This window comes from Homo sapiens, chromosome 1, assembly GCF_000001405.40.
Source record: "Homo sapiens chromosome 1, GRCh38.p14 Primary Assembly".
In the NCBI taxonomy this organism is placed as follows: Eukaryota; Metazoa; Chordata; class Mammalia; order Primates; family Hominidae; genus Homo; species Homo sapiens.
Window position 1 is genome coordinate 94,491,303 of NC_000001.11, and position 22,454 is coordinate 94,513,756.

The following is a 22,454-nucleotide window of genomic DNA, read 5'->3' on the forward strand; positions in this document are numbered from 1 at the left end:
AAAAGATTACCTGAATATTTAAAGTAACTTTAAGGCTCGACTTAGTCTCTGAATCCACAGAATTGCTTTAAAAAGTAAGTCTTTGAAACGCTTAGAAATCTATTTTTCTTAATTGACAGGACTTCAAAATTTCAAATACTACTACCAAAAAACTTTTTGCAAATGAAGTTTATGTCAAGAAAGTCATAGAAAATATAGTAAATTGGAGTCTCCAGTGTAAAATGAGTATTTAAACACACAAATATAATTTTAGTCTCTTTACATTAAAAAGAAACTTATGGTGTGGCTGGTATTGTTGTGACTGTACAGGATGATTTGTACCTATAAAAACAAAATACAGACTGTTTTATTACTGATGAAAACGGGAAGAGCCGCACAGTAGCGCTACAAATAGACACTCACCTAAAACAAGTAAAATCCCATGCCAAGTGAAAACTGATGTTGATTCAATATACTCTGCTAATGAAATGGGATATGGCAGACCAAATTAAAAAGAAAAGACAAAAGATGAATGTTTTTGTACGATTTGTAAGACTCGCAGATTTAAGGGTTACTATTTAGGTTTTCTCTATGTTGTGGCTTTATGAATGGTTCAGATCCAGAAATCTTCATAATTAGTAACAAATTCCTATCACATAGGCTATGTTCCCCATTCTAGACACCATTCCTCTAGAACAACACTTTCCCGTAGAACTTTCTGCAATGATGGAAATGCTCTATACTTTCACTGTCCAGTAAAATAACCATGTGTAGATATTGAGCATGTGAAATGTGACTAGTACAGCTGCAAAACTGAATTTAAAATTTAATTTAATTAATATGATTTAAAATTAAATAGCCACATGTGAGTAGTGGCTATGGTATTGGACAGCACAGCTCTAGAATTCCTCTCCACATGCTAATGTGCATGGCCATCTGTAGTTTGTGTTTCATGTGGGGATTTTTTTCCTACTGCTTTCTTTGAAGGAATATTGTCTGATAGTTTATAAAATAAAGAATATAATTATTGGACTTGTTTTTAATTTGTTACAGTCTTAAGTAAGTCTTCAGTTTTCTGCTCTTAGTAATTTATATTAAGCACATGTCTACTTTCTTCTCAATGAATTATAAAAATGAAAATTGTTAGTTATGCAAAGTACTTTGAACTTATTCAACAATGAGTATTCTATCGTTATCATATTTATTCCAAAGCCAGGAAATACAAGAAGTACAGAAAATGTAAATGTAGTTGGTAAATATTGACTGGCTCCACATATCACAGAAGTGTTTTCTCACATAGCTCCAGGTACTTCAGTCACTTGAATGTTCCTTTGGCAAAGTAGGTAGCCAGGCTTGATTTCCAGTAGCCCCTTTATTGCCACTGTCCAAGGATAAAAAGGACGTGAGACTTCGTTGAAGAATGCCTCTTGTCCCTTTCTCCTACTTACCCTCACTTCTGTCTTTATGCAGAAATAAAATATACCAATAATATAGGGGCACACATGACTGAAGCACAATGAGAAAGGGGGTTGGGATACTTAGAATAGATGGATCATGATTATGGTCCATAATAATATTTTGTCTTGATGTTACCACACTAAAGCTGTCACTTTCTTTTTAGTTCAAAGCCTTTTCTTTTAAAGCCCTTATGTTTGTATTGAATAGACTTCTGTCGTTTCTATAATTTCACTTTTATAGTCTTAAAAATGTCCTAGAAGAAAACCTAGGCATTACCATTCAGGACATAGGCATGGGCAAGGACTTCATGTCTAAAACACCAAAAGCAATGGCAACAAAAGCCAAAATTGACAAATGGGATCTAATTAAACTAAAGAGCTTCTGCACAGCAAAAGAAACTACCATCAGAGTGAACAGGCAGCCTACAAAATGGGAGAAAATTTTCGCAACCTACTCATCTGACAAAGGGCTAATATCCAGAATCTACAATGAACTCAAACAAATTTACAAGAAAAAAACAACCCCATCAAAAAGTGGGCGAAGGACATGAACAGACACTTCTCAAAAGAAGACATTTATGCAGCCAAAAAACACATGAAACAATGCTCACCATCACTGGCCATCAGAGAAATGCAAATCAAAACCACAGTGAGATAACATCTCACACCAGTTAGAATGGCAATCATTAAAAAGTCAGGAAACAACAGGTGCTGGAGAGGATGTGGAGAAATAGGAACACTTTTACACTGTTGGTGGGACTGTAAACTAGTTCAACCATTGTGGAAGTCAGTGTGGGGATTCCTCAGGGATCTAGAACTAGAAATACCATTTGACCCAGCCATCCCATTACTGGGTATATACCCAAAGGACTATAAATCATGCTGCTATAAAGACACATGCACACGTATGTTTATTGCGGCACTATTCACAATAGCAAAGACTTGGAACCAACCCAAATGTCCAACAATGATAGACTGGATAAAGAAAATGTGGCACATATACACCATGGAATACTATGCAGCCATAAAAAAATGATGAGTTCATGTCCTTTGTAGGGACATGGATGAAATTGGAAATCATCATTCTCAGTAAACTATCGCAAGGACAAAAAACCAAACACCGCATATTCTCACTCATAGGTGGGAATTGAACAATGAGAACACATGGACACAGGAAGGGGAACATCACACTCTGGGGACTGTTGTGGGGTGGGGTCCTGGGGGAGGGATAGCATTAGGAGATATACCTAATGCTAAATGACAAGTTAATGGGTGCAGCACACCAGCATGTCACATGTATACATATGTAACTAACCTGCACATTGTGCACATGTACCCTAAAACTTAAAGTATAATAATAATAAAATTAAAAAAAGAACAATAACTACCCTGTATTAAAATACATCAAAATGTTTAAATTAATGAGTTTATTATGATACTCATTATGTTGAAAAGTGACAAAGGGAAAAAAATGTCTTTAATTCTTTCTCTTTTTTGGGTTTCATTTGGAAAGTCTTGAGTCCCCACTTATGTCCTTACTTGTTGGAGTGTTTTACTTCATAACCATGTTCCTTACTTCCTGGTGTTTATCCTGTGATTCTTGTTTTCTCCTCCCCTGGGAACTGTTTCTCTGACTTCTTTTTGGTTCACTGTTATGAATTCTAATCTCTTTCTGACTTAAAGTATTCTAAAGTAGACCTGGGTTTCTCACATTCATTATGTCTTTTTATTGTTTTTCTTAACATAGCCTTTCTATAATCAACAAATGTTCTTCAGTTCTTTGCAGCCTCTAATTATTTTCTACTCATCTGGCTTACTTGAAAATAAAGATTTCTTTCTCTTGGAAAGAGGCATAATAAAACAGACTTGGCCCCTCAAATAAATCTTTCCTACTTTATGATTCATTTGCCTTTTGGGTTACATTTGTAACCAAATAATAAAAACTTCTTTGGAATAAGAGATTTTATACCATTTTCCATTATAAACTCCCCAGTACAGACATATTTATCTGTCTAGATATTATTCTGGGAAGTATGTAGACTGGAGAGATCCTAAGAGGTAACAGCTTGCAGGTTACCATGTGGGGATTAAAATAGTACTTTGTCCAAGGTGGGCGGATTGCTTGAGCTCAGGAGTTTGAGGCCAGCCTGGGCAACATGGCAAAACCCCGTCTCTGTGAAAAATACAAAAAAATTAGCTAGGTGTGGTGGTGCACACCTTTGGTCCTGGTTACGCAGGCGGCTGAGGTGGGAGGATCGCTTGTGCCAGTGAGGCAGAGGTTGCAGTGAGCGGAGATCGCACCACTATACTCCAGTCTGGGCTACAGAGTGAGATCCTGTCTCCAAAAACAAGTACTTTGTAAGTTACTAAGATTTTTACCTTTTCAGTAAGGTATACTTATAGTGTTTAAAGAAACTAATTAATCTTCATAAACACCATACTTTTATATAATTTTTCTTTTACTTAAATTTATGTGTAGAATTTTTTATTTGTTATGATAAATTTATAGAAAGTAGGATTTATCAAGGAGTATTATTTGGGGGGTATATTTTTATTGGTAAGAATATGGTAGTTCAAAGCATTGGTTGATCCGGTAAAGCATTCTGAGAGCCCCAATAATACAATGCTGTTAAGAACTTAATTTTCAGTAAATGTTACTCTTGGCTTTTAGTCTTAATTTAACCCCACAAAAATATGTACTTAATAAATTTTTAATACAGAAAAATTATCACTGGCTTATCATGGCTGACGTCATAATTGGAAGTTTTGTTCAACACTACCAAATGCCGTGAAGTAAAGAAAAGTGAATGCTGAGTAGGTTAGCCAGGCTTGATTTAGAGCATAAAAGGATAACTCAGGATTTCAGTAAGTCTGGTTATTATTTATATACATCATTACAAATCTGTTTTTGGGGTTTCCTGGCATACTGCAACAAATAATGTGGAAGGGTATTATTGGAGGCAGGAATATTGATGCCATTGTAAACCACAAAGAGCAGTTAGGAGGGGAGAATTTATATACGGCCAACATTACTCAAATAAAACGTAGCAGGGAACCATTTAATTACCAGCTCACTGAACTTTAGGACCTTCTAAGGGCATCGCTGTTACAGTAGAGTATGATTATTTTATATGATAACCTTGCTTTATGAGGAACATTCAGTATATTCAATTTTATGTGATAAGGAAATTGTGTTATTTAAAAAGAAGTCTATCAAAATGATTCTTTATCAGAAAAAAGTTTATTCATCTGAACGACTCTTTAACAATTATGTGTGTAAATTGTTATTTTCTTTTAGATCAACTATGTGTTAGGCTGCTTCATTCTTTTTTCTTTAAGAAGTTTTTAAAATGTAAAAATGAAATTTGGCTTTTTAACCATTTCTAAGTGTATAATTTAGTGGCATTAAGTACATTTACAGTGTTATGCAGCCACCACCACTATCCATTTCCAGAACTTTTCCATCATCCCAAATAGAAACTCTGTACTCATTAAACAGTAACTCTCCTTCCTTCCTCTCCCTTGCCCCTGGTAACCTCTCATGCTGTCTGTCTATGAATTTGACTGCTCTAGGAATCACATATAAGTGAAGTCATACAGCATTTGTCCTTTTGTGGCTGGCTTATTTCATTTAGCATAATGTTTTCAAGGTTCATCTGTATTGTAGCATGTGTCAGAGTTTCATTCATTTTAAAGGTTGAATGCCATTTCATTGTGTGTGTGTGTGTGTGTGTGTGTGTCACATTTTGTTTATCCATTCATCCTCTTGGGTCGCTTCCTTGCTTCCACCTTTTGGCTATTGTGAACAATGCTGATGGCTCTCCATTTTGTCACAGTAAAAGTCGAAGTTCTTTCAATGCCTGCCACTACCCTACCCCTACCTGATACATCTCTGATCTCATTTCCTACTATTCTTCTTTCCTGTTCATTCTTCAGTAAAATCAGCCTTGTTTCTGTTTTTTTTTTTTTTTTTTTTTTTTTTTTTGAATAGGATAGCTACATTCCTGCTTCAGTGCCTTTGTACCAGCAAATTTTTTTTTTTTTTTTGAGACGGAGCCTTGCTCTGTCGCCCAGGTTGGAGTGCAGTGGCACGATCTTGGCTCACTGCAACCTCTGCCTCTCGGGTTCAAGCAATTCTCATGCCTCAGCCTCCTGAGTAGCTGGGATTACAGGTGCCCGCCACTGCATCCAGCTAATTTTTGTATCTTTAGTAGAGACAGGGTTTTACCATGTTGGCCAGGCTGTACCAGCTTTTTATGGGTGGTAAAGGTGGGGGCTAGAACAGTCTTCTTTTAGTTAAATCCTAATTCACCCCTTCTTTCAAAGTTTTACTTAGTTGTCATATTCAATAAAGTCTGCTCTGACCACCTTAAAAATGCGGCTTTCCTCACCCGCTCCCAAGTTCCCTTTGTCTGTTTTTTCCTCCAAAGTACTTATTTTCTAATATACTATTTAACTTATATGTTATGTATATTCTTTATTGTATGTCTCTTACCACTAGAATGTAAACCAGTAAGGGTAGAGGTTTTTGGTTTTTTGTTTTCATTTTTTGTCTCTTTAATTCATTAATATGGCCTACTTGCCTAGAACAGAGCCTGACAGAGAGCATTCAATAAATATTCATTGAATTAAATAATAGGAACAGAAGGCTCACCAGCTTAACAAATTTGTTAAAGGCAGGTTACCAGCTAGGGTAACTCATATCTTTCTGATATTTTCTTTCCTATTGTGTTGCATTGGTGTTTAGTGTTGTAAGCTAGAATTATAGCTAAGATTTTCTGATTCTTTACAGAGTTGATCAGATACTTACAAGATCATAAGCCTAGAACTTAACCACTCTTTACATTTTCTCATTTATCTTTATGTTGTTGCAGAATAATTTAGTGACACTTGTATATATTTATAGTGCACATATATTTTGATAAAACACTTATAATTTCTAAGAATGGAATCTACAGAAACATTGCTTACTGTTACATAAGTTGCTGACTTGTACACTCATTGCAATATTATCTAGAAGAGCAAAACAAAATGCAGATGACCTAAATATTTAACCAAAGGGGAGTGTTTAAATAAGTTATAGTATATCCTTACTATGGAAGATGCTTGAGGCATTAAAGGAAAGGAATGGGGGAATCTGAATATACTGACCTGGAAGAATATCTGTGATATATTGTTAAATAATAAAAGCAAGTTGTAGAACAGTCTATAGAGTACGTTTTCATTTTTTTAAAAGAGACTGTGTATACGCATGTATTTATTGTTTTCAAGAATTCTCAGTTTTCTAAACTTTATCTCTCTTTATCTTAAGTTGATGATATCAATCAGTCAGTAAATTTATTTATTTATACATGTATATAGATGGGGTCTTGTTCTGTCAGCCTAGGTGACATCATAGCTCACTGCATCCTTAAACTGCTGGACTCAAGCAATCCTCCCACCTCAGCCTCCCAAGTAGCTGGGGCTACAGGTGTGCACCACCACACCTGCTTAATTTTTTATTTTTATTTTTTGTAGAGATGAGGGTCTTGTTTTATTTCCCAGGTTAGTCTCAAACTCCCAGTTTCAAGCGATCCTCCTGCCTTAGCCTCCCAAAATGCTGAGATTATGGGTGTGAGCCACAGTACCCAGCAATAATAATTTTTTAAGTGAAAAAAAAGTAATGGTAAAAATTGGAAGTAAACAAAGTAAAAGGTCCCTTCACAATACCTCTTCACTGCTCTACCTAATGCTACATTTACAGACAAATAGAAGGCTTATAATTAGCCAGGAGCTATTAATATTTGAGTCTAAGGAAATGTTGATTAAGTATATGTTAATTTGATTTAATTACTTCACAGACTGATTTTTTTTTTTTTTTCAGGTTCGATCTGGGGCTAATGTTCTAATTTGTGGTCCAAATGGCTGCGGAAAGAGTTCACTTTTCCGTGTTCTTGGTGAAGTAAGTACAAGTTGGCCTCAAAATTTTGCAGTCTTATTTTGCCATACTGTCTACCACTTTGTAAATTTTACAATTGTTCTTCTCCCTTCTCTCTCTTTAATAGTTATGGCCTCTTTTTGGAGGACGTCTAACTAAACCTGAAAGAGGAAAATTATTTTATGTTCCTCAGGTAAGACCTAGCTTGAGTTATCTTTGATCTAAAGATCTTTTTGTTTATTTATTTTTTCATGTTGCTTCTAATTGACTTTTGCTCTACTACTGTCAGAGACCTTACATGACCCTTGGAACACTTCGAGATCAAGTGATATATCCAGATGGACGAGAAGATCAGAAAAGGAAGGGAATTTCTGACCTAGTAAGGGAATGTTTATATCCTAGATCCACTGAAAATACTCCAGATTATTTATTTTAATCAATTAAGTATTTTAAATGCCAGGTAGTTTATCTTAAGCTGTAAAGCCTTCCAAAGCTGTAAATTGTGATTTTCTAAGCTGAGGTAAGATGTTAATCCCTTGGCTTAAAAAGAGTTTAATCTTAACCTTTACACCATTGTTTGTTTTCTCATTGCCATCATCCTTTTACTGTGTACAATAGTGTTATTCTCTTTAAGCTACTAGACATATTTTGTCAAGTTTGGTGTAGATACTAGGAGCTGAAAGGTTCAGGGCTACCTTGTGCCACATTCTTTTCTGAAATGTATCTTTTAAGTGGTACAGACAATAGAATTATAGTGATTCCAGTTTAAAAAATAAACCACTATTAAGAATGTTGGCTTATATTAAGTTTAATTTCATCTTTAATCATTTTGCTGAAAGGTACTGAAGGAATACTTAGACAATGTCCAGTTGGGTCATATCCTTGAACGTGAAGGAGGCTGGGACAGTGTTCAGGATTGGATGGACGTACTCAGTGGTGGAGAAAAGCAAAGAATGGCGGTAAGTATACTGTGAAGAAGTTGCACAAGAATGCAACTGGTTCCAGCATTTTGATTAATCAGGACACAAAGTTTCATCTTATATTTTTTTATTCAGCAGCTGTTTCAGTATGGATTAGTTTAAATTATCATAAAAGTGCTTGAAAATCTTTAACTTGCATGTAAATTTGGAATTCTGAAAAATTCATAAATACCCTGCCAGTATCTATGAAAGGAAAAGCTGCAGATCCGACTATATACCAATAATCCATTTTTCTAAAAGTTCAGAGAAACTCTGTAGCTCATTATTCCTGGGATATAAGGTAATCCTGGCTGGGTTATGAAATTTCTTCTCATGTCTCTTCCCTATAGACATCTCTTTTGTATCACTCAGGCTATTCTTTCTGAAATAGCTGAAGGTATTAGAAACGATCCATTCAAATTTTATCTTTATTCTGTTCTTGCCCTTTTCCTCCACTATTATATGTATGTTTTTGTTTCAAGGTTCAGTATCTACTACTTAAAGTTACTTAGAATTTTTAAGTTTTCCTAATATAAACAAGCATTTGAAAGAAACTACTTTAATTGTTATGATGACTAAACTTGTCTCAAACCAAAAATATGCGCTAAACACTACGTAGTAAGAATGAGACCAGCCTGGGCAACATAGCAAGACCCTTTCTCTACAAAAAAAAATTTAAAAATTATCTGGGCGTAGTGGCACACACCTATAGTCCTAGCTACTGGGAGGCGGAAAGATTGCTTGAGCCCAGGAGTTTGAGGCTGCATTGGGCTGTGATCACACACCGTGGCACTCCAGGCTGGGCGATAGAAGGAGATCGTCTCTCTAAAAATAAATAAATAAATAAAAATTTAAAAAGAACGGTAGTTTGGGTACCTTGTCAAGAGGGGCAACTTCATAAAGAGTCATTTTTTAACTATATATTTCATAGTTTGAATAGATCCAAGCAAGAGATTCTCCTCTCCCCCTGCAGAGTATGGAGATTAGAGAAAACTGTAGCTAAGGAAAGAAAGCAAAAGAAATTGGCTTATGGCAGAATTTCTGACCCATTATATTCAGGTTATATTCCACCTTTTTGTTACCTCCGAGTCCCTGATTTTGCAAGTTGTTTTTCCCAAAATCATACCCACTCTACATGAGGTTAATATTAACCTAATAGTGTGACTTGCCTGGCTAGTGCTATAACGTGAGATGAATCTAGTGTGAAGAGTAAATCATAAATGAGAGAGATAATAGCTATATTCAAAATGGAAATTAGGCTGAAGGAGTGAAAATTTGAAATGATTAGGCATTTCTAGAGTCAATTTAGAAGATGACTATAGAAATAACTGCAAAAAAGAGCTGCAAAATAACTTTAAATTTCTGTACTATGTCTTCAGAGAAAATGGAAGGATGTGGTTCAGAAATGGACACGACGGAAACTCAGAGAATGAATAATGAATGTACTTAAACCAAGGAACAGTGTGTGTGTGGTATAAAAGTACAGGAGGGATAATTTTGATTTGAAGATTAGGAATTCAAAGGCGTGCCCAGAGCAGTGGGGGGCTGAGGCGGGAGAATCACTTCAACCCGGGAGGCATAGGCTGCAGTGAGCCAAGATCATGCCACTACACTCTAGCCAGGGCAACAGAGCAAGACTCTGTCTCAAAAGAAAAAAAAAAAAAAAAAAACACATGATCCATAATAGAGGCGTTTGGGAAATGGGGAAAGCTCACCTGTGACACCACTGCATATATAACTGGAGCATGGCCAAGCCATTGTCTAGAGAATTGAATGTGATGTGTAAAAGAGAGCCTGTTGTTTTGTTTCAGAGGGTGGAAAGGAGAAGGCTAACGCTACAAATACTAACGTTGGTGAAATTAGGTAAAGATTATATATGTGTATTCATTTTACTGTCCTTTCAGTTTTTTGGTAGGATTGAAAATTACCAAAGTAGAAAGTTGAGGGGAAAGTAGGTATTAGAATTTTTAGGAAGAACAGACCTAAAAGGCCTAGCCACTTAGAACAGTGAGTCAGCCAGGGTTGCTCCAGCTAATGTCACAATTTGGGATATCTTGTGTTTCTGACCAAAAGTTATCTTTTCCACTCCATTTTTCTTGCTCTTCCTATTTAGTAATAACTTTTCTTATTTTGAATTATGAAAAAGTATATATGATGGAAAAGTGGAATATTTATTTAAGTATAAATTGGGCCAAACCCCTTTACCAGAGATACCACTGTTATAAAATTTTTAGTGTTTTTTTAATCCATTTTTGTAAATCTTTTTTTTTTTTACCTTAAATTAGCAACTATCCCCCTTTCTCAAATTCCCTGAGATCTCTAGAATATTAATCCTTCCCTTTCCTTACAATTGTTCAGTCCTTTTCTGTCTCTGCCTCCTTTCCTGTCCAGTACAGACTTCATAATCCAGGGTGTGGCCCATAGGAGATAAGATATATTTCTTAAGGAATGAACAGTTCATCCCTTCCCCTTAACTTCCTTTCCCACTTTTTGTGTCATCGTATTACCTAAATCCCAGCCCAGTTATTTGCCTTGGCACTTCTCTAACCGCTCTTCTGAGCACAGCTAAAAAACATCAGATGGGCTCACAGCATGGCTTAGCAATCATTTTACTTATTTTTATCCTTCTCTCATTTTTCATGACAATCATTTTAAAACTACCAATTTTGGGTTTTCTACCCCGTTACTTAACCCACTGCACTTGGCAGAATAACTCGCCTTCTACTTTTCAAAGAAAGATAGGCTATTATTTCAATTAAATGACAGCTAATTTTTATTGAGTGCTGAAAAGATGACAGACAGTATGTCAGGCACCTTACACAGGTGATCTCATTTCATCCTCACAACAGTCCTGTGAGGTAAGAACTGGGAATGCCCCCCTAGTTTTTTTTTTTTTTTTTGAGACAGAGTCTCATTCTGTCGCCCAGGCCGGAGTGCAGTGGCACAATCTCAGCTTACCGTAATCTCTGCCTCCCAGGTTCAAGAGATTCTCCTGCCTCAGCCTCCCAAGTAGCTGGGATTACAGGCATGCACCACCACGCCTGGCTAATTTTTGTATTTTTTTTTGTAGAGATGGGGTTTCACCATGTTGGCCAGGCTGGTCTCGAGCTCCTGACCTCAAGTGATCCACCTGCTTCGACCTCCCAATGTGCTGGGATTTCATGCGTGAGCCGCCGCGCCCCATTTTACAGAGGAAATTGAACTTTTGTGCAATTCAGTAGCTGGCCAAGCAAAGACAGCTAGTAAATGTTAAAGCTGGTGGTGGGGGCTTTGTCAGGCTTAGGCAAGCAGTATGGCTGCAGTGTGCATATGCTTATTCACTTTACAACAAGCTTGTCCAACCTGTGGCTCACGGACACATGCAGCCCAGGACAGCTTTGAATGCAACCTAACACAAATTCATAAACTTTCTTAAAATCTTATGAGATTTTTTTGTGTGTGTAATTTTTTTTAAGCTCATCAGATATCGTTAGTGGTAGTGTATTTTATGTGTGGCCCAAGACAATTCTTATTCTTCCAGTGTGGCCCAGGGAAACCAAAAAATTGGACACTCCTGCTTTACAACTTTCTTGTATTGTGGCATTAAGTAGCTGACAGCATAGTGGGAGCGAGAGAGACACATGTTGAGAAAATGTCCATGTCATGTAGTAAGTGTGGTGATGAATGTACGCAGAGAGTCCTTTGGGAGCAGAGAGGAGAGGCATTGGTGGAATGCCCTCAGATAACCATTCCTCTTAATTAACTGTGTGCTGCTCTGTCCTGACCTCCCTACTTCCGCTGTCTTGGAGGATATGTCATCCTTCTTGAGAAAGGCAAATACTTCCATCTATGTTTATGGAGCCTCTGTCTTCTGACTTTATCACATCCTTTTCCTTCAGTTATATCCCCTCCCGCAGCCCCCACCTACATTTAACCTCTTCTAGTCCTTCTCTTGTGGAAAGACATTTTTCAGGTCTCTTTGATCTAAAAAGCAAACTCTGCCTTAGCCAAAGCTTCTCTGTGATCTGTACCTTTCATTTTCTGCACAGTTGAACTTCTTCATAGTCTATACTTGCTGCCTCCCCTTCCTCACTTCATGCAAACAGGTGGAAAGCTGTTTTAGTCATTCATTTATTAGATAGTTGAATGCTACCCATATATAAGTGTCAAGTACATGGTAGTGATTAAAACAGTCTCTGCTTTTCTGAATTTTTTTTTTTTTTTTGAGGCAGTCTCACTGTTTCACCTAGGCTGGAGTGCAGTGGCACAATCTTGGCTCACTGCAACCTTCACCTCTCAGGTACAAGTGATTCTTTTTTTTTTTTTTTTTTTTTTTTGAGACAAAGTCTCACTCTGTTGCCGAAGCTGGAGTACACTGGCACGATCTCAGCTTACTATAACCTCCACCTCCTGGGTTCAAGCGATTCTCCTGCCTCAGCCTCCTGAGTAGCTGGGACTACAGGCACGCATCACCATGCCCAGCTAATTTTTGTATTTTTAGTAGAGACAGGGTTTCACTATGTTGGCCAGGCTTGTCTTGAACTCCTAACCTTGTGATCTGCCTGCCTCAGCCTCCCAAAGTGCTGGGATTACAGGCGTGAGCTGCTGCGCCCGGCCAGGTACAAGCAATTCTTGTTCCTCAGCCTCCCAGGTAGCTGGGACTACAGGTATGCACCACCATGACTGGCTAATTTTTGTATTTTTAGTAGATACGAGGTTTCACCATGTTGGCCAGGCTAGTCTCGAACTCCTAGCCTCAAGTGATCTGCCCTCCTCAGCCCCACAAAGTGCTGGGATTATATATGAAGTGCTTCAGAGGTGTTACAGAAAGGACCCACTTGGATTGTGGCTAGGGATGAGGGTAGGTTTGCCTGAGATGACATTATAAGCAGAAATCTGAAAGCTCTAAGGAACAGAATAAGGCATTTGAGACATCAGAAAAGAATGATGTGTGTTTAAGGCTCTAAGGTGTAAAGCACCTTGTTCCTAGCAGTTGAGAGGAGGCGGTGTTGGCTAGAATGTTGGGGTTAGAGCGTGAGTAGAAATAAGATTGTGCAGGTCTTGTAGACTGTGGTAAGGAGTTTGAGTTTTAAGTGAAATGGGAAGTTGTTGAAGGGTTTTAAGCCAGAGAGTGAAGTTCCCTGATTGACATTTGTGAAAGATGTTCTCTGGTTACATGGAGAGTGGACTGGAGAGGAGCAGCAGAAGTGGTAGGAGGCTACTTGTAGTCTATCCAGACAGGAGATGAGTGTGCTCTGGGCTAAGGGCATGTTTGTGGAGATGAGGAAAAGTGAGTGAACTTGAAACTTCACATTTCTTTCTTGAATGGACTTTTTAGTTCATTTTAAAAATAGCTGTGGGAGAGTGAAAGGGAAGAGGAAAAGGGAAGGACCAGACCAGGGAGGACTCCTGGCTTTCTAGCTGGAGCAACTGTTTGATAGTTTCATTTGCTGAAGTGTTCAAGATTAGGGAAGGGAATGGATTTTAGAGGGAAAATCTAGAAATTACATTTGAGTTTTAGACTTTTAACGTTTGAGAGTCCTGTGAGATACCCAAGTAGAAACTCAAAGAGGAATTTTTATTTTTAATTTTTTAAATGTTTTAAATTTAAAATGTTTGTTTTTTGAGATAGCGTCTTGCTGTTTCAGCCAGGCTGGAGTGCAGTGGCCTGATCATAGCTCACTACAGCCTTGAGCCTTGACCTACTGGGCTCAAGCCCTCCTGTCTTAGCCTCCTGAGTAGTTGGAACCACAGATGAACACCACCATGCTTGGCTAATTTTTTTTTTTTTTTTTTTTTTTAAGAGATGTGGTTTCCCTGTGTTGCCTGGGCTGGTTTCAAACTCCTGATCTCTAGCAATGGCTCCTGCAACAACCTCACAAAGTGCTGGGATTATAGGCGTGACCCACTGTGCCTGGCTGATATTTTTATATATCTGGAAATTTGAGAAGTATGAGTGAGAGATGCATATTGCAAGTTTATAAAATGTAAATAGTATTTGAAATCAGAAGATTGGATGAGATCACTGACAGAATACAGGAAAAAGAGGAGGAGACCTAGAAATTAGCCCTAAGGAGCTCCTGTATTTAATGGTCGAGTGAAGGAGAAAGTGCTAGAAAAGAAGCTGAGAAAGGATCCTCAGAAGTAGGAGGAAACTTAGGTGCATGGTTTCACTATCACTTTCTCAAGAAGGATGGAGTGGTCTTCTAAAGAGAATGTTGCAGAGAAGGTAAATTAAGGATAGAAGAGTGCCCCATTGGTCTTAAACATGGAGATCTTGTCAGGGGGCAGATGACAAAAATTGGAATATCTGTTAGACAAAAGGTCAGAATAAACAATCCCCAGAAAATACATGGGAACATAAATGTAGGAAAATGTTCATCATTCCTGATAGTCAAAGAAATGTATGCTATAATTTTGATGTTAATTTTCATTTATAAAATTAGCAAAGGCTTAAAAAAATGAGCACAACCAGAACTGACAATGGGGATATAAAACAGGTACAATAAAAATTATTGGTGAGAATATTAATTGGTACCATTACTTAAGCAACAAAATATTTAAAATAGAGACCTTTTTGCGTCGGAGTCATCTAGTCTGAATTCTGAGATTTGGTTAAAATATGTACTCTGTAATCTTATTTGTTTAGTGAGCTTTCTTTAATACTAGTTTGAAACTTCCTCTCTCATCAGTCTTAAGGTTTGTGTTTTACTCTGAGCAATTAGTATTTCCCATGAAGTACGTTTTTCCCTTTGTTCAGGATGACAGCAAAAACAGTTATGTTTATATTGTTTCTATTTCTGGGAAGTAGATTTTTTGAATTAGAATAATTTTTATACTTTTGATTTACAAGACTACAAATGCATATTTAACATAAGTTTGTTTCGGCTTACTAATTTTAGGTCTGCCTGTGTTTTACACAAAAAATTTTTTTTATGCTTCAGATGGCAAGATTATTTTATCATAAACCCCAGTTTGCCATTTTGGATGAATGCACAAGTGCAGTTAGTGTCGACGTGGAAGGCTACATTTATAGTCATTGTCGAAAGGTAAGTACGCAGGTGCTCAGTTTGAGGAGCCATGGCCTCCTACCTAGTGTAAACTATGTCCAAATCTGTCCAAAGAGAAGATTCCAGGTCACTAAGTAACAAAATTTCTACCAAAAGATTTCTTGTTTTAATAAAGATTTAAAACATATGAATAAAAGAAAAAGAATTATAAATACAGTTCTGTATATAATTCTCTTTATATATGGGAAATAGATTTAAATATGTTGTTTTATATAAGTGAGATATAAAAGATATATATAAATGAGATACAAAAGATATCTCATTTATATATAAATGAGTTACAAAAGTTTTTAACTTTTATGTTAAAAGATTTATTTATTTATTTTTTAATTTATTATTATTATACTTTAAGTTTTAGGGTACATGTGCAAAATGTGCAGGTTAGTTACATATGTATACATGTGCCATGCTGGTGCGCTGCACCCACTAACTCATCATCTAGCATTAGGTATATCTCCCAATGCTATCCCTCCCCCCTTCCCCCACCCCACAACAGTCCCCAGAGTGTGATGTTCCCCTTCCTGTGTCCATGTGTTCTCATTGTTCAATTCCCACCTATGAGTGAGAATATGCGGTGTTTAGTTTTTTGTTCTTGCGAAAGTTTACTGAGAATGATGATTTCCAATTTCATCCATGTCCCTACAAAGGACATGAACTCATCATTTTTTATGGCTGCATAGTATTCCATGGTGTATATGTGCCACATTTTCTTAATCCAGTCTATCTTTGTTGGACATTTGGGTTGGTTCCAAGTCTTTGCTATTGTGAATAATGCCGCAGTAAACATACGTGTGCATGTGTCTTTATAGCAGCATGATTTATAGTCCTTTGGGTATACACCCAGTAATGGGATGGCTGGGTCAAATGGTATTTCTAGTTCTAGATCCCTGAGGAATCGCCACACTGACTTCCACAATGGTTGAACTAGTTTACAGTCCCACCAACAGTGTAAAAGTGTTCCTGTTTCTCCACATCTTCTCCAGCACCTGTTGTTTCCTGACTTTTTAATGATTGCCATTCTAACTGGTGTGAGATGTTATCTCACTGTGGTTTTGATTTGCATTTCTCTGATGGCCAGTGATGGTGAGCATTGTTTCATGTGTTTTTTGGCTGCATAAATGTCTTCTTTTGAGAAGTGTCTGTTCATGTCCTTCGCCCACTTTTTGATGGGGTTGTTTGTTTTTTTCTTGTAAATTTGTTTGAGTTCATTGTAGATTCTGGATATTAGCCCTTTGTCAGATGAGTAGGTTGCGAAAATTTTCTCCCATTTTGTAGGCTGCCTGTTCACTCTGATGGTAGTTTCTTTTGCTGTGCAGAAGCTCTTTAGTTTAATTAGATCCCATTTGTCAATTTTGGCTTTTGTTGCCATTGCTTTTGGTGTTTTAGACATGAAGTCCTTGCCCATGCCTATGTCCTGAATGGTAATGCCTAGGTTTTCTCCTAGGGTTTTTATGGTTTTAGGTCTAACGTTTAAGTCTTTAATCCATCTTGAATTGATTTTTGTATAAGATGTAAGGAAGGGATCCAGTTTTAGCTTTCTACATATGGCTAGCCAGTTTTCCCAGCACCATTTATTAAATAGGGAATGCTTTCCCCATTGCTTGTTTTTCTCAGGTTTGTCAAAGATTAGATAGTTGTAGATATGCGGCGTTATTTCTGAGGGCTCTGTTCTGTTCCATTGATCTATATCTCTGTTTTGGTAACAGTACCATGCTGTTTTGGTTACTGTAGCCTTGTAGTATGGTTTGAAGTCAGGTAGTGTGATGCCTCCAGCTTTGTTCTTTTGGCTTAGGATTGACTTGGCGATGCGTGCTCTTTTTTGGTTCCATATGAACTTTAAAGTAGTTTTTTCCAATTCTGTGAAGAAAGTCATTGGTAGCTTGATGGGGATGGCATTGAATCTGTAAATTACCTTGGGCAGTATGGCCATTTTCACGATATTGATTCTTCCTACCCATGAGCATGGAATGTTCTTCCATTTGTTTGTATCCTCTTTTATTTCCTTGAGCAGTGGTTTGTAGTTCTCCTTGAAGAGGTCCTTCACATCCCTTGTAAGTTGGATTCCTAGGTATTTTATTCTCTTTGAAGCAATTGTGAATGGGAGTTCACTCGTGATTTGGCTGTTTGTTGTTGGTGTATAAGAATGCTTGTGATTTTTGTACATTGATTTTTGTATCCTGAGACTTTGCTGAAGTTGCTTATCAGCTTAAGGAAATTTTGGGCTGAGACAATGGGGTTTTCTAGATATACAATCATGTCATCTGCAAACAGGGACAATTTGACTTCCTCTTTTCCTAATTGAATACCCTTTATTTCCTTGTCCTGCCTAATTGTCCTGGCCAGAACTTCCAACACTATGTTGAATAGGAGTGGTGAGAGAGGGCATCCCTGTCTTGTGCCAGTTTTCAAAGGGAATGCTTCCAGTTTTTGCCCATTCAGTATGATATTGGCTGTGGGTTTGTCATAGATAGCTCTTATTATTTTGAGATAGGTCCCATCAATACCTAATTTATTGAGAGTTTTTACCATGAATGGTTGTTGAATTTTGTCAAAGGCCTTTTCTGCATCTATTGAGATAATCATGTGGTTTTTGTCTTTGGTTCTGTTTATATGCTGGATTACATTTATTGATTTGCGTATATTGAACCAGCCTTTGCATCCCAGGGATGAAGCCCAGTTGATCATGGTGGATAAGCTTTTTGATGTGGTGCTGGATTCGGTTTGCGAGTATTTTATTGAGGATTTTTGCATCAATGTTCATCAAGGATATTGGTCTAAAATTCTCTTTTTTTGGTTGTGTCTCTGCCTGGCTTTGGTATCAGGATGATGCTGGCCTCATGAAATGAGTTAGGGAGGATCCCCTCTTTTTCTATTGACTGGAATAGTTTCCGAAGGAATGGTACCAGTTCCTCCTTGTACCTCTGGTAGAATTCGGCTGTGACTCCATCTGGTCCTGGACTCTTTTTGGTTGGTAAGCTATTGATTATTGCCACAATTTCAGCTCCTGTTATTGGTCTATTCAGAGATTCAACTTCTTCCTGGTTTAGTCTTGGGAGTGTGTATGTGTCGAGGAATTTATCCATTTCTTCTAGATTTTCTAGTTTATTTGCGTAGAGGTGTTTGTAGTATTCTCCGATGGTAGTTTGTATTTTTGTGGGATCGGTGGTGATAATCCCCTTTATCATTTTTTATTGTGTCTATTTGATTCATCTCTCTTTTTTTCTTTATTAGTCTTGCTAGCAGTCTATCAATTTTGTTGATCCTTTCAAAAAACCAGCTCCTGGATTCATTAATTTTTTGAAGGGCTTTTTATGTCTCTATTTCCTTCAGTTCTGCTCTGATTTTAGTTATTTCTTGCCTTCTGCTAGCTTTTGAATGTGTTTTCTCTTGCTTTTCTAGTTCTTTTAATTGTGATGTTAGGGTGTCAATTTTGGATCTTTCCTGCTTTCTCCTGTGGGCATTTAGTGCTATAAATTTCCCTCTACACACTGCTTTGAATGCGTCCCAGAGATTCTGGTATGTTGTGTCTTTGTTCTCCTTGGTTTCAAAGAACATCTTTATTTCTGCCTTCATTTCGTTATGTACCCATTAGTCATTCAGGAGCAGGTTGTTCAGTTTCCATGTAGTTGAGTGGTTTTGAGTGAGTTTCTTAATCCTGAGTTCTAGTTTGATTGCACTGTGGTCTGAGAGATAGTTTGTTATAATTTCTGTTCTTTTACATTTGCTGAGGAGAGTTTTACTTCCAAGTATGTGGTCAATTTTGGAATAGGTGTGGTGTGGTGCTGAAAAAAATGTGTATTCTGTTGATTTGGGGTGGAGAGTTCTGTAGATGTCTATTAGGTCTGCTTGGTGCAGAGCTGAGTTCAATTCCTGGGTATCTTTGTTGACTTTCTGTCTTGTTGATCTGACTAATGTTGACAGTGGGGTGTTAAAGTCTCCCATTATTAATGTGTGGGAGTCTAAGTCTCTTTGTAGGTCGCTCAGGACTTGCTTTATGAATCTGGGTGCTCCTGTATTGGGTGCATATATATTTAGGATAGTTAGCTCTTCTTGTTGAATTGATCCCTTTACCATTATGTAATGGCCTTCTTTGTCTCTTTTGATCTTTGTTGGTTTAAAGTCTGTTTTATCAGAGGCTAGGATCACAACCCCTGCCTTTTTTTTGTTTTCCATTTGCTTGGTAGATCTTCCTCCATCCTTTTATTTTGAGCCTATGTGTGTCTCTGCACGTGAGATGGGTTTCCTGAATACAGCACACTGATGGGTCTTGACTCCTTATCCAATTTGCCAGTCTGTGTCTTTTAATTGGAGCATTTAGTCCATTTACATTTAAAGTTAATAATGTTATGTGTGAATTTGATCCTGTCATTATGATGTTAGCTGGTTATTTTGCTCGTTAGTTCATGCAGTTTCTTCCTAGTCTCGATGGTCTTTACATTTTGGCATGATTTTGCAGCGGCTGGTACCAGTTGTTCCTTTCCATGTTTAGTGCTTCCTTCAGGAGCTCTTTTAGGGCAGGCCCGGTGGTGACAAAATCTCTCAGCATTTGCTTGTCTGTAAAGTATTTTATTTCTCCTTTACTTATGAAGCTTAGTTTGGCTGGATATGAAATTCTGGGTTGAAAATTCTTTTCTTTAAGAATGTTGAATATTGTCCCCCACTCTCTTCTGGCTTGTAGGGTTTCTGCCGAGAGATCCGCTGTTAGTCTAATCGGCTTCCCTTTGTGGGTAACCCGACCTTTCTCTCTGGCTGCCCTTAATATTTTTTCCTTCATTTCAACTTTGGTGAATCTGACAATTATGTGTCTTGGAGTTGCTCTTCTCGAGGAGTATCTTTGTGGTGTTCTCTGTATTTCCTGAATCTGAACGTTGGCCTGCCTTGCTAGACTGGGGAAGTTCTCCTGGATAATATCCTGCAGAGTGTTTTCCAACTTGGTTCCATTCTCCCCGTCACTTTCAGGTACACCAATCAGATGTAGATTTGGTCTTTTCACATAGTCCCATATTTCTTGGAGGCTTTGCTCGTTTCTGTTTGTTCTTTTTTCTCTAAACTTCCCTTCTCGCTTCATTTCATTCACTTCATCTTCCATCACTGATACCCTTTCTTCCAGTTGATCACATCGGCTCCTGAGGCTTCTGCATTCTTCACATAGTTCTTGAGCCTTGGTTTTCAGCTCCATCAGCTCCTTTAAGCACTTCCCTGTATTGGTTATTCTAGTTATACATTCTTCTAAACTTTTTTCAAAGTTTTCAGCTTCTTTGCCTTTGGTTTGAATTTCCTCCCGTAGCTCGGAGTAATTTGATCGTCTGAAGCCTTCTTCTCTCAGCTCGTCAAAGTCATTCTCCGTCCAGCTTTGTTCCGTTGCTGGTGAGGAACTGCGTTCCTTTGGAGGAGGAGAGGCGCTCTGCTTTTTAGAGTTTCCAGTTTTTCTGCTCTGTTTTTTCCCCATCTTTGTGGTTTTATCTACTTTTGGTCTTTGGTGACCGTGATGTACAGATGGGTTTTTGGTGTGGATGTCCTTTCTGTTTGTTAGTTTTCCTTCTGACAGACAGGACCCTCACTACTGATTTCTTCTCTTCTTTCCTCCCTTTTTCCTTTTTTTCCTTCCTAAATGATATAGAAATTTTAGGTAGTCATGTAAAAGATATCTCATTGATATATAAATGAGATATAAAAGATACCTCATTTATGTAAAACAACATATTTAAATCTCTTTATAATTCTCTTTATATATGGGAAATATATTTAAATATGTTGTTTTATATAAATGAGATATAAAAGATAAAAGATATAAAAGATACCTCATTTATATAAAACAACGTATTTAAATCTATTTCACTTTACCTCATTACTTAGAGTTAATAAACTGACCTTTTCTTAATTTTTCCATTAACTTTATCTAAACATTAGAGTTTTTTTATGAATAAAACTCAACAATAATTATTTGGCAATTTTTAATTTATCCGTTTTATTTTCTAGCCTGAGCAATATTTTACCAAAGCTGCTTTTAGTAGCTAAGTCTGAGGCTATCTTTATTGGTTCCATTCTTTAAGTAATTATTCAATAGTATCAGTTTTCTTTCTTTGAGAAATTGTTACCAACATCTATACTATGGTTAAATTTTGGAACAAATGTAGTATATCCTAGCTGTTTTATAGTTTCTATATAAGTAAATGAGGTAGATGAGGATTTTTAACATTTTGTATGTGTTCTTTGGGAGTTCTCAATAAATAAAAAAGGTCATATTGAGTATATATATTATGAATTCCTACTATTCCAAGTGTGTTCATGATCAGCAGCAGCAGTGTCACCTAGGGGTTTGTTAGAAATGCAGAATTTCAAGCCCTGCTAAATCAGAATCTGCATTTTACCAAAATTCTAAGATGATTCAAATGCGCATTAAAGTTTGAGAAGCACTGGCGTGATGATGAAAGAATTTGCTATTCTTTGTAGAAAGATTTTAACTACTGATTTTATCTTGTTAATGATTTATTTTCTATTCTTGAATTTGCTTTGGTAATATATAATTATACATTTGTTCATGTTGGTTTTCAAATATATAGGTATTAGAGATGTTTATGGTATTCTCATGTACATAAAACCATGTAGTCTGCAGTTGATTCAATGACATAGCAGCTCTTTGCTGGTAATTTTGACCACGTGATTTCCTCTTATGCTCTAGCTATAGGCTTGAAGTCCCCACATAAGACTGTATAAATTCTATAAAACATCAGTTCCATTTAAAAGAAAATTCATATGGGGCCTCATTGATAATTTAAATTACTGTGATACCACTTAAACATGTATAAACATGATGAGGTGTGAATTCCTTAAGCTTAGAGCTCTTTTACAGCTACAAAACTAATATAAACTTACACATTAAATACATTAAATACAGACAAAACTTAAATACAGTTTCAAATTTACAACATTAAAGAGACCTATGATACCGTTTAGATGAAACTAAACCAGTGGTTTGGGATTTAATTAAGGAAAGATAGAATCTGAGGTTCAAATTTCATTATTTTGCATTTTGCTTTTTATTTTGACTTATATACTTCATATATTTTTTATATCCTCATGTAAAGAATGT

General features: G+C 37.0%; 1 protein-coding gene across 8 annotated transcripts in view; it reads left to right on the forward strand.

Moving 5' to 3' along the window:
• ABCD3 (ATP binding cassette subfamily D member 3) overlaps nt 1–22,454 on the forward strand; it is a 133,533-nt gene that overhangs the window by 106,172 nt on the left and 4,907 nt on the right. For all 8 annotated transcript variants that reach the window (XM_047426556.1, XM_006710802.3, NM_002858.4 and 5 more), the window contains 5 exons: nt 7,300–7,377; nt 7,481–7,546; nt 7,643–7,732; nt 8,193–8,312; nt 15,236–15,340. In XM_047426556.1, coding sequence (XP_047282512.1) covers nt 7,300–7,377; nt 7,481–7,546; nt 7,643–7,732; nt 8,193–8,312; nt 15,236–15,340 — 459 coding nt within the window. The remainder of the gene's footprint in view (nt 1–7,299; nt 7,378–7,480; nt 7,547–7,642; nt 7,733–8,192; nt 8,313–15,235; nt 15,341–22,454) is intronic.